General features: G+C 56.5%; 2 protein-coding genes across 5 annotated transcripts, besides 3 other annotated features; both read left to right on the top strand.

The window, feature by feature from the left end:
* Positions 9-2,264, top strand: B4GAT1 (beta-1,4-glucuronyltransferase 1). Its single transcript, NM_006876.3, has 2 exons — positions 9-1,148; positions 1,398-2,264. The coding sequence occupies exons 1-2, from the start codon at positions 93-95 to the stop codon at positions 1,587-1,589; spliced, it is 1,248 nt and encodes a 415-aa protein (NP_006867.1). The 5' UTR covers positions 9-92; the 3' UTR covers positions 1,590-2,264.
* Positions 2,244-2,794: an enhancer, noted in NCBI's record as "H3K27ac hESC enhancer chr11:66112315-66112865 (GRCh37/hg19 assembly coordinates)". NCBI's record gives its function as "activates a minimal SCP1, AML or CMV promoter by ChIP-STARR-seq in primed H9 embryonic stem cells {active_cell/tissue: H9 hESC(primed)}" and the evidence as "EXISTENCE:reporter gene assay evidence [ECO:0000049][PMID:30033119]".
* Positions 2,359-2,788: an enhancer, noted in NCBI's record as "active region_5043". NCBI's record gives its function as "activates an Ori minimal core promoter by ATAC-STARR-seq in GM12878 lymphoblastoid cells {active_cell/tissue: GM12878}" and the evidence as "EXISTENCE:reporter gene assay evidence [ECO:0000049][PMID:35858748]".
* BRMS1 (BRMS1 transcriptional repressor and anoikis regulator) lies at positions 2,534-10,299 on the top strand. 4 transcript variants are annotated; one of them, NM_001024957.2, is made up of 10 exons: positions 2,534-2,666; positions 5,397-5,542; positions 6,015-6,105; positions 6,305-6,432; positions 6,592-6,671; positions 6,768-6,864; positions 7,425-7,517; positions 8,853-8,917; positions 9,356-9,395; positions 9,831-10,299. In NM_001024957.2, exons 2-10 carry the CDS (start codon positions 5,404-5,406, stop codon positions 9,968-9,970), a joined length of 873 nt encoding a protein of 290 aa, NP_001020128.1. In that variant the 5' UTR covers positions 2,534-2,666; positions 5,397-5,403; the 3' UTR covers positions 9,971-10,299. The 4 variants fall into 4 exon arrangements, with proteins under 4 accessions (NP_001020128.1, NP_056214.1, XP_024304194.1 ...); NM_015399.4 differs by having other exon boundaries at positions 9,749-10,299; XM_024448426.2 differs by lacking the exon at positions 9,356-9,395.
* Positions 9,870-10,724: an enhancer, noted in NCBI's record as "H3K4me1 hESC enhancer chr11:66104385-66105239 (GRCh37/hg19 assembly coordinates)". NCBI's record gives its function as "activates a minimal SCP1, AML or CMV promoter by ChIP-STARR-seq in naive and primed H9 embryonic stem cells {active_cell/tissue: H9 hESC(naive and primed)}" and the evidence as "EXISTENCE:reporter gene assay evidence [ECO:0000049][PMID:30033119]".

Genomic DNA, 10,850 nt, shown 5'->3' with positions numbered 1-10,850 from the left:
CGCTCGGCAGGCTGCGGTAAATCCGGGCTTGCGGCCGCTGGCGTAGTCTGTGGCCGGGTGGTCGTTGCTGCGCGCCCCGAGCCCCGAGAGCCATGCAGATGTCCTACGCCATCCGGTGCGCCTTCTACCAGCTGCTGCTGGCCGCGCTCATGCTGGTGGCGATGCTGCAGCTGCTCTACCTGTCGCTGCTGTCCGGACTGCACGGGCAGGAGGAGCAAGACCAATATTTTGAGTTCTTTCCCCCGTCCCCACGGTCCGTGGACCAGGTCAAGGCGCAGCTCCGCACCGCGCTGGCCTCTGGAGGCGTCCTGGACGCTAGCGGCGATTACCGCGTCTACAGGGGCCTGCTGAAGACCACCATGGACCCCAACGATGTGATCCTGGCCACGCACGCCAGCGTGGACAACCTGCTGCACCTGTCGGGTCTGCTGGAGCGCTGGGAGGGCCCGCTGTCCGTGTCGGTGTTCGCGGCCACCAAGGAGGAGGCGCAGCTGGCCACGGTGCTGGCCTACGCGCTGAGCAGCCACTGCCCCGACATGCGCGCCAGGGTCGCCATGCACCTCGTGTGCCCCTCGCGTTACGAGGCAGCCGTGCCCGACCCCCGGGAGCCGGGGGAGTTTGCCCTGCTGCGGTCCTGCCAGGAGGTCTTTGACAAGCTAGCCAGGGTGGCCCAGCCCGGGATTAATTATGCGCTGGGCACCAATGTCTCCTACCCCAATAACCTGCTGAGGAATCTGGCTCGTGAGGGGGCCAACTATGCCCTGGTGATCGATGTGGACATGGTGCCCAGCGAGGGGCTGTGGAGAGGCCTGCGGGAAATGCTGGATCAGAGCAACCAGTGGGGAGGCACCGCGCTGGTGGTGCCTGCCTTCGAAATCCGAAGAGCCCGCCGCATGCCCATGAACAAAAACGAGCTGGTGCAGCTCTACCAGGTTGGCGAGGTGCGGCCCTTCTATTATGGGTTGTGCACCCCCTGCCAGGCACCCACCAACTATTCCCGCTGGGTCAACCTGCCGGAAGAGAGCTTGCTGCGGCCCGCCTACGTGGTACCTTGGCAGGACCCCTGGGAGCCATTCTACGTGGCAGGAGGCAAGGTGCCCACCTTCGACGAGCGCTTTCGGCAGTACGGCTTCAACCGAATCAGCCAGGTGCTCATAAGGGAGAGGGCAGGGGTAATGGGGCAGGAGGGGTGGTGGGATCAGGGAGTTATGAGGAGTGGCCCTGGATGGAAAGGAGGCAATGAAGCAGGAGGGATCATAGTTCAGGAGGTGGGTGGATGGTGTGGAAGATCCAGGATACTTCCAGAGGGGTGAGGACGCTGGACTGTGGCTTTAGGGAAGTCAGTCTCAGGCCTGTCAATGTCATCAAACTTTGCTAACCTGTCTTTCCTCCTGCAGGCCTGCGAGCTGCATGTGGCGGGGTTTGATTTTGAGGTCCTGAACGAAGGTTTCTTGGTTCATAAGGGCTTCAAAGAAGCGTTGAAGTTCCATCCCCAAAAGGAGGCTGAAAATCAGCACAATAAGATCCTATATCGCCAGTTCAAACAGGAGTTGAAGGCCAAGTACCCCAACTCTCCCCGACGCTGCTGAGCCCTTCCCTCCCCTAATCTGAGAAGTCAGCCTCTTGGCTCCTCAGGCCACCATTTAGGCCTGACTGGGGTAAGAAATGTCGCTCCACTTTACAGAGGTAGCTGTGGTGTTGAAACACTGGACTTGGATATGGGGTGCTGGGATCGATTCCTAGCTTTACCACTAACTAGCTGTGTGGCCTTGAGTAAATCCCGTTACCTCTCTGAGCCTCGGTTACCCTGTCTGTAAAAAGGGAGGTGAGAATACCTACCTCACGGAACTGTTGGGAGGCTCAGATGAGATGCTATATGTGAAAACATTCTGTAAGCTTCGTACAAATGTGAAGTATTAATATTATCGCAGTATTATTGTTGTTATTATTATTGTTATTATTAACAATCTTGGGTGGGTAGTAGGAGAGCAAAAAGTATGAATGGGATGGAGCTAAGAAGTCTGAATACTTAATGAAATGGACTTTTTGGAAAGAAATCAGATGAAGGCATAAAATTTAGTTCTTAGCTCTTGAACAGAAGCCTAAAATTCCTGGTTCTCTCAGGGCTTCGCCTTCAAGGGTTCTGGAGGAGGGAAGGGTCTGCAGGTTCCATGGGTGACAGCCTGAGATCTGTCCCTTCAACGGGCTGGGCTGGGTATGTGCCTACCGATGACAATGTGTAAATAAATGCGTGTTCACACCCACAGCTGGCTCCGTTACTCTCCTGAGCTGGGGGTGGGGGGATCGGGGCCGGCTTCTCCCCTTGCACGCCGTGGGGAGATGGCCGCGGACGAAGGGCACCGTCTGCAAAGCACTGAACCATCAGGGCCTTCCCTGCAGGCCGAAGGCCTGCGCGAATGTCGGCCAGTTACTATGGAGACCGGCCCGCGGTATCCCAGCATGCCTCGGGACCAAACTGTCCAACTGTGAGCATCCCCGACGGTCGCCTCCTGATGACGCACACGGAAGCACCGATAGGCTCTGCCTCCCGAAGAAAAGGGAGCCGCGCAGCGCCTACGGGAGTCCGGCGGCAGCAGCCGGTACCGGCAACCACGGGCAGCTCTCAGGGAATCTCCGTCGTGAGGCCAGAGGCTCCAGTCCCCGCGGTGCGTATCGTCATGCATGGCTTTTGGTTCGCCCTCTCCGGTTAGTCGAGCAGGGCCGGCACAACCTCCTCCTCCGAGGCCGAAGCAGAGATTTAACCGGCCTGACGCGTGCTGGGCTGCGGGCGAGCCAGTGATATTCCGGCCCGCTCCGGCGCATCTAGAAGGGAGCGGGAGGCCCCCTGGGCGCTGCGGAGAAGCTGGATTGACCTCTGCGAGAGTGGGGAGGGTCTGCCTTCCCTAGGGGCCTGCCCCGGAGGAGCTGCCATTCTGAAAAGATAAATTGCCTGTGTACAGCGCTTTACAGTGTGCTTTTCCATCCCTTACCACCTGTGAGCTCCTCAACACTCAGAGCAGGAATGGTTATCCGCTTTTTGCACCCGGGGTAAGGTGGGAAGGTTGTGACTTAACTCACTCATAATCAGAACCAGGGGGAGGAAAGAAAGGCTTCTGGAAGAGATAGACTTAAGCTGCATCTTACAAAGTGAATATACTAACAGTGAAGAGGCATTGCAAATGTTGGGAACTGAGGCTTGATAACGGGAAGATGAAGCTGGTTTAGAGAACCGAGCCTTTCAAGTCAGGTGCAGGTCATTAGTGAAATTGTTGAGGAATATGACTAAACACTCACCTAGGCCAGGCTTACTATACACAACTTGAACTGGTGTCAAGGAAAGCTTGCTACCATTACAGGGACCTGGGACTACCGAAAAGTAAAAACTAATGTCTGTCTCACAAAAAATTTTTTTGTTAAATTTGTATTTGCAAATCCTCCAGTCATCAAGTGAACCAGCACTGTGCTAGGTAAATAAGTTACATGTGCAGCCCCTGCCCTAGTGAGGCTCATAGACTGATTGCGGGGACAGATATGAGAACAGGCAAATAGATATAAACAAAGCTTCCTGGAGGGAGTGGTGTCTGCACTGTTCTAAAGGACTACAAAGCAGTGTCCAGAGAAGTTGGAAGAACACAATAAAATAGAAGCCTGCAGGAGGTTGAGAGATTATCTGCTGAGAGGACTGTTTTCTTCTTCTTAGGTGATCTCTTGGCAGTACTTGGCACTATCAGTGCAATTACTCCTTGGCAGTACTTGGCTTTCTTCTAAAACTCTTTCTCCACCACTTCGGGTTTTGCCTCCTCCTTTGTAGGGGTCTCCTCATCTGCCCCTTTGGTGACCCTGGGCGTCTTCTGATCGCACACATTGTGCCTTGCTGGTTGCACCTTCTCCTGTGGCATGAAGAACTTGCTGTATGCTGACGACCAAATCCCTGCAGCTCAGATTTCTCACTGAGACTTAGACCCATGTTCCCCCAGCTGCTTTCCTTCTCTTATTTCTGGGTCTTTGCTACTGACTCTACCTGGAATGTTCCCTCAATAAGTGCAGCTCACCCAGCTGGTCCATCTTTGTCTGGAAGCCTCCCTGCTGCATCGGGCTCCAGGTCCTGGTTATATACCCCTCCCTTATGCCCCTGGTCTTAACTCTCCTCCTATCATGGTTATAGTGTGCTCCTTTGCCCCTGTCTCCCAGGAACTTGTAAACTCCGTGAGGTCAAAGACATTCACACTTGGGCGCCTGCATACCATAGCGTCTGACGGTACCTAGCATATGTTAGATGTTCAATACATGTTAGATGAGTCAGTAAAAGAAGGAATGCTTACCAGTGTTGGATGTTGCCGAGCAGACAATTAAAATAAGCACTGAAAAATATTGGCATTAGCCACAAGGAAGTCATTGGTTAATGCTACGGGATCAGTTTCAGCTGAGATTGAGGACATCGAACAAGTGGGAGGTGAAAGTAGGAACAGCCAGTGTTCATGAGACCTTGAAAAGTGTAACTGTGAAGTGGCAAATGGAGCAGTTAGGTGGAATGGGTGAGGTTTTGTGTTTCTGTGTTTTGTTAATGCTAGGAAGTACCCAAGCACATCCAAAGTTTCATGGGAAGGAGGTTGCTAAGAGTTAGAAGCTGAAGACACAGAAAAGAGAGGGGAGCACTGATGACCTGCGGTCCAAGAGGAAGCAGAAGGAGATGGGATTTGACCCAGAGCACAATGAAAGACAAGGAGATTGTAACATTATCTGGAAGAGAAGCCGAGGACATTATAGGCAGAAGGAACAGCTGAGGCAGAGGGTGGATAGTGGAAGTGCAAGCACTAGCCATTATATGTTGGGATGAAGGAGCTGGACCGGTAGGTCAAGTCCAGTCTGGGAAAGACCTTGAAAGCCCCAGTTAGAAATTTAGGTCCAGTTTGGGTGTGGTGCGGGCGCCTGTAATCTCACTACTCAGGAGGCTGAGGCAGGAGAATCGCTTGAACCCAGGAGGAGGAGGTTGCAGTGAGCTGAGATCGTGCCACTGCACTCCAGCTTGTCAACAGAGCGAGACTCTGTCTCAAAAAATAATAAGAAGAAAAGAAATTTAGGTCCAGTTGCAAAGGCAGTGGAGAGTGCCCCCTGGGCCTTTCCTTTCTGTGGATCACAGCCTTGGCCAGTATTGCTAGGATTAGGATCACCAGTGACATCCAAGAGCAGGAGCAGTTCCACAGCTCCCAGCCTTCTGTGAGAGGTGCAGATGGCCATTTGCACCCTTGTCACCCAGTTTGTGCTCAAGGTGTGGCCAGGCCAGTTACTTCCCTGGCTTTCCCCATCTGGGATCGAGTTGTGTTCAGCATCCTGCTGCCTCTTTCCCCCTCTGAGCTGTGGGCAGCCATAAGTGATAGCTCCATTCCTTCTCCCAGAGTCCAGATGCCTGTCCAGCCTCCAAGCAAAGACACAGAAGAGATGGAAGCAGAGGGTGATTCTGCTGCTGAGATGAATGGGGAGGAGGAAGAGAGTGAGGAGGAGCGGAGCGGCAGCCAGACAGAGTCAGAAGAGGAGAGCTCCGGTGAGCCCCTACACACACAGACACACACACACACACACAGAGCCCCTACACACACACATGCACACACACAGCCCCTACACACAAGCATGCACGCACATGCACATACAGCGCCTACACACAAGCACATACACAGACCCTGCACACAAGCGCACACACGCACACACAGCCCCTACACACAAGCACGCACACACAGCCCCTACACACAAGCACGTATGCACACACACAGCCCCTTCACACAAGTACACGTGCACACAGCCCCTTCACACAAGCACGCACGCATATGCACACACAGCCCCTACACACAAGCACACACGCACACACACAGCCCCTTCACACAAGCATGTACGCGCACACACACACAGGCCCTACACACAGGCATGCATGCACACACACACATGCAGGACGCACATGCACACATGCGGGTACCCACCACTCCTCCCCAGAGCTAGCCCTTACTGGCCTCTTGTCCCAGAGATGGATGATGAGGACTATGAGCGACGCCGCAGCGAGTGTGTCAGTGAGATGCTGGACCTAGAGAAGCAGTTCTCGGAGCTAAAGGAGAAGTGAGCGTGGGGACACCTTGGGCTGGGTCTGCGAGGATCTGGGATGAGGAGGTGGTGGGCCTGGTACTGGGCAGGCGTGGTTGGTGCCCAGGAAGTGCGCGCCTAACACCGGGCTTGCTGTGGAATGGGTGCTGGGTATGTGTTTGCCCAAGAGCGATGGGTGAGCAAATGGGTGCACGGCTGCCTTTTTACCACGCAGGTTGTTCAGGGAACGACTGAGTCAGCTGCGGTTGCGGCTGGAGGAAGTGGGGGCTGAGAGAGCCCCTGAATACACGGAGCCCCTTGGGGGGCTGCAGCGGAGCCTCAAGATTCGCATTCAGGTGGCAGGTCTGTGGGTGGTTCTGTACCCTCTTCCCCTCCCAGAACCCGTGGCACCCTGTCCCCTTCCTCTCTCGTTCCTGCCCGGCCTTGCCCTTTGCTCTCAGCCCTCCTATGTGGGCACCGGGCTCCCCAGCCAAGCAGGGACCCTCCTCCCTTTCTCTGCAGGGATCTACAAGGGCTTCTGTCTGGATGTGATCAGGAATAAGTACGAATGTGAGCTGCAGGGAGCCAAACAGCACCTGGAGGTGGGCCTGATTGGGCACACTGGGGGTGAGGCAGGGCACAAAGCCTGAAGTGGCCTCACCCCATCCGTCCTGCTGAGCTATTGCCCCCTCTTCCAGAGTGAGAAGCTGCTGCTCTATGACACGCTGCAGGGGGAGCTGCAGGAGCGGATCCAGAGGCTGGAGGAGGACCGCCAGAGCCTGGACCTCAGCTCTGGTAAGCGCGAGAGCCTGGGCACCCCGGAACTGGGCCCCGCTCAGTCCACGCCCACCCCTCTTTGGGCTTCAGATGTCCTGAAGTCAAGGGGACAGCCAGAGGACCTGCCTGTTGGGGTCAGTGTGAGGGCTGAAGGAGACCAGGCCTGGAAAGGGCCTGGCACATAATGGGGGCTCAAGCAGAGTGGGTCTCCCTGCCTCTTCTGCCCCTGCTCTTTCCAAAACAGGTATCAGTGTGACATGCAGTCACATGCAATAGCTCTAGTCCCCTCCATGTTCATAGTACCTGTGTTCACGTGGAGTCCTGGGGTGGCAGGAATTGTCGTCATCCCACTCTCCACTAAACAGATGAGGCTCACAGAAGTGCAGTGACCTCTTCCCAGGGTTGTGCAGCTGTGCAGGCAGGACCTGAACAGCCCTAAGGGGCTTCTACCCCAAGCCCAGGGTGGTGATGGGACAGGGGAGATGAGGCCAGGCCGGCCCATGGTGGAGGCAGAGGCTACAGAAAAGGGAGTATCCTGTGGGCCAGCACCCCAATTCTAACTCTGGGTCTCGGGGCAGAATGGTGGGATGACAAACTGCACGCCAGAGGCAGCTCCAGGTCTTGGGACTCCCTGCCGCCCAGCAAGAGGAAGAAGGCACCTCTGGTTTCTGGTATCCTTTCACCCAAGGTGGCCTAAAAGTGGGCAGGATGTAAGGGTCAACTCCAGACCCAGGGGAGGGGGTTGGAGGGGACATGGAGGACAGTCACACTAGATGCACTCGTGGTTGCTTGGTGTCATGTGAATATGTCCAGGCAAATCCAGCTGTCAGCAGTTTCTTACGGGGTCCTGGGTCTCTCTGGGCTATGTGAACCCTAGGAAAACAGAAACGGGCTGGGCTCCGTGGCTCACATCTACAGTCCCAGCACTTTGGGAGGCCAAGGCGGGTAGATTGCTCGGGCCCAGGAGTTCTTTTCGAGACCAGCTTGGGCAACATGGTGAAACCCATCTCTAGAAAAAATAACAAAAATTAGCCAGGCGTGGTGGTGTGCACCTATAGTCCCAGCTACTCTGAAGGCTGAGGTAAGAGGATTGCTTGAGCCTGAGAGATCAAGGCTGCAGTGAGCCGTGATGGTGCCACTGCACTTGAGCCTGAGTGAGGTTTGGCCTTTGAGGCCTTTCCATCTCCCGGGGTTGTCCGAGCGGGTCCCCAGCTTTCCCTGGGGAGCCTTTGCTCATATCCCACCCTCCTCTTGGAAGTCCTGCCTGTCCCGACTGTCCAGGGCTCATCTCAAACGTTACCTCCTCTGTGAGGCCTCTTCTGGTCTTACCCTGGTGCCTATGGCTTCACTTTCCTGTGTGCTTCTGTGCCCTACCATGGGGTACCCACATCCCAGAGGGCACTGGCTGCCTCCACCCCTTCCTAGGCAGGGCTAGCTTAAGCTTAGTCCAGGGCCTGCTGTGCTTTCATCTGTCCTGGCAGAGCTGAGTCCTCCTGCACCCCTGAGGGTATTCCTGCAGCAGCCAGTCTTAGTCATTATGGCAACCTGGTGCTGGAGAGCAGGCCCAGGCAGGGAGGGAGGAATCTGGAAGGCCATGACTTGAGTGAATGGAAGGTGAAGGCATGGAGACATCAAGTAGGGAGCACTGGGGGAGGGAGAGTTGTCTCTGAAGGGATAAGCCCTGCGTCTGTCTTTGGATCAGGGAAGGGGCCAGGTTAGGGCCAGTGCTGCAGAGTGAGATGGGATGGGCCTCAGCCAGCTGACCTAAGACGAGGTGAGGGTGAGCAAGGGACAGGGAACAACATTTGGTGTCCTCCATAGACTTGGTTCCAGGACGACCCCTGGAACCAGGGGGTTAAGAGGTAGGAGGTGGAACCTGACCTCGGACCCAGGTCCTCAGCTCCCACTCCATGCTGTCCGCTGTACCCCCACTCCTGAATGTCAGGTGGGTGGCCCTGCCCTCGTCACCTGCCACCTCCACTAGGCTTCCTTGACCCCCACCACAGGCCCATACATCGTGTACATGCTTCAAGAGATCGACATCCTGGAGGACTGGACAGCCATCAAAAAGGTGGGGGCCGCTGCTGCCCACGTGACCTGCCCCACCTCAGGGCCCCCCACCCTGGCAGCAGCTCTGCCATCTGCAGGCCTGGGAGTTCTCTGCTCACCAAGGCTTCCCCATCTTCAGCCCAGAGTCCCTGGATCGCAGTTGGCTCACAAGTCCTCTTGCTCAAGGCGGCCCTGGGAAAAGGGATTTCTAGTCTGTGTCAGCCCCTTCCCGTTCTGGGGCAGGTTTTGATGGGGTGGGAGGGTGGCGGGGAGGCGGGAGAGCCGCTGAGCTGGCCAGCAGTCAGGAGCATGGGAGCTCTGCCTGGGTGGGGCCTATGCTCCCGGTCCTGGGGGCACAGCACTGAGGCAACAGCCCACAAGCCACAGAGGTGGGGGGTGGGGCAGGGATTGCCAAGCTGGAGGTGGGCTCTCAGGGGAGCTTTTCTTCTCACCCACCCAGGCTAGGGCAGCTGTGTCCCCTCAGAAGAGAAAATCGGATGGTAAGAACCATGGCTGTTGCATGGCCTTCCCTGCCCCCTTGCCATCACCTTTCCTCAGCTCAGCTTCCAGGAAGGAGCCCAGAGAAAGGCTGTGACTGTGTCAGAATCAGTGGCTCAAGAAAGTTAGGATGGTCTAGATTTGAGGGGCTTGTGGGAGTTTGAGGAGCAGGAACCAGGATGGGGCTGGGGAAGCTCTGGGTTGATGGAGCTCCCACTCAGGAGGGGTCAGGGAGGGCTGTGGAGCTGCCCAGGAGGCCTGTTCTGGGCCAGCCCAAAGCCACTCAGTAAGTGGCTGCCTCCTTCCTTTCAGCTTCCTAACTGGTGACAGTTTTCTTCTTCCCACATATGCACAGGACCTTGACCCTGCTGTTCACAGCCAGGGGGACCCTCAGAGCAGCTGGCACTGCACCCAGGATTCTCGTCTTCCTCCTGCAGACAGGCGGACCCACAGGCCCCTCAGGGTCTGCCCAGCCAGGCTCCTGTGGTGCTGCTGGGCCCTCCCACTCCATCTGGCACTGGCCTGGACTCCTCCTCTGCCCTCCTCGAGGCCTGCACAGCTGTGGCCGTGGAGCTGACCTGACCAGGCAAGGCTGCTGTCTCCATCCCTGAGCCGCCTGCCACCTCCCACTCCTGAAGATCCATCTCTTGGGGCTCCCCTGACAGAGAAGACAGCCGAAGTCAAAGCCACATCCTCTTGCTGATGTTGGATGCAGGCTGTCCGGCCTCAGGGCCAGGGAGCCAGTTTCCACTGTGCGGGAACTCTGAGTCAGACGTGATTATCTGGGGGTCTGTCCACCCTGGCTGGATCTGGAGGCAAGATGCCAGGCCCCCCAGGTGTTCTCAGGGCAGTTCTTGGTGTCTGCTTCTCAGATTCCAAGGACTGGAATTAAAACCTTTCCTGGGACTCTGGCGTGCCCTGTGTGTGTGTGTGATTTACCTTGCAAGAGAATCAGGGCTCCCGTGGGGAGCACCTGAACCAGGCCGACTTCTAGGGTGCCTGCAGATTGCCACTCCTCACACTACCCAGCAGAGGCTAGAGCACTGTGCGTGGGGCCAGGCTGGGGAGGGGGAGGTGGGCGCTGGGCTGCCTGGCGCTGGGCAGAGTCAACATATGGCACCGGGAGAGTGCCTCGGCGGGGAGGGTGGATGCGTGTGCTTGGAGCCTGGGTCATGTCTGCACCTGTCCCAGTTGCCTGGCAGATTGGCAAGGCAGGCTGGCAGAGCCTGCGTGCGTGGGAGGCAGCCGGCAGCACCGCCATGTGCTGACGACCTCACAGCCAGACTCCCCCTGGTTAGCACTGAGTGTCAGAACCACCCCCAGAACCTCAGTTAAGCAAATAGGTTGGTTTCCATGGAGACATGGCATATTTTCTCCATGGCAACCTAAAATCCTAAAACCCAGGTTCAGGAATGAGTCATCTATGGACAGTAGAGGGTGCTCTCCCACAAGGCTGA

The sequence above is a fragment of the Homo sapiens genome, chromosome 11 (assembly GCF_000001405.40).
Source record: "Homo sapiens chromosome 11, GRCh38.p14 Primary Assembly".
NCBI classification, from domain to species: Eukaryota; Metazoa; Chordata; class Mammalia; order Primates; family Hominidae; genus Homo; species Homo sapiens.
This window is presented reverse-complemented; position numbering and strand designations above follow the sequence as displayed.

Bases quoted from the DNA above. Each gene is read 5' to 3' on its own strand.
- B4GAT1 (NM_006876.3), top strand. From the start codon at position 93: ATGCAGATGTCCTACGCCATCCGGTGCGCCTTCTACCAGCTGCTGCTG. The intron at 1,149-1,397 runs GTGCTCATAAGG...TTCCTCCTGCAG, and splicing joins GCTTCAACCGAATCAGCCAG to GCCTGCGAGCTGCATGTGGC.
- BRMS1 (XM_024448425.2), top strand. From the start codon at position 5,404: ATGCCTGTCCAGCCTCCAAGCAAAGACACAGAAGAGATGGAAGCAGAG. The intron at 6,433-6,591 runs GTCTGTGGGTGG...CTTTCTCTGCAG, and splicing joins GATTCGCATTCAGGTGGCAG to GGATCTACAAGGGCTTCTGT. The intron at 6,865-7,424 runs GTAAGCGCGAGA...GTCTCGGGGCAG, and splicing joins GAGCCTGGACCTCAGCTCTG to AATGGTGGGATGACAAACTG.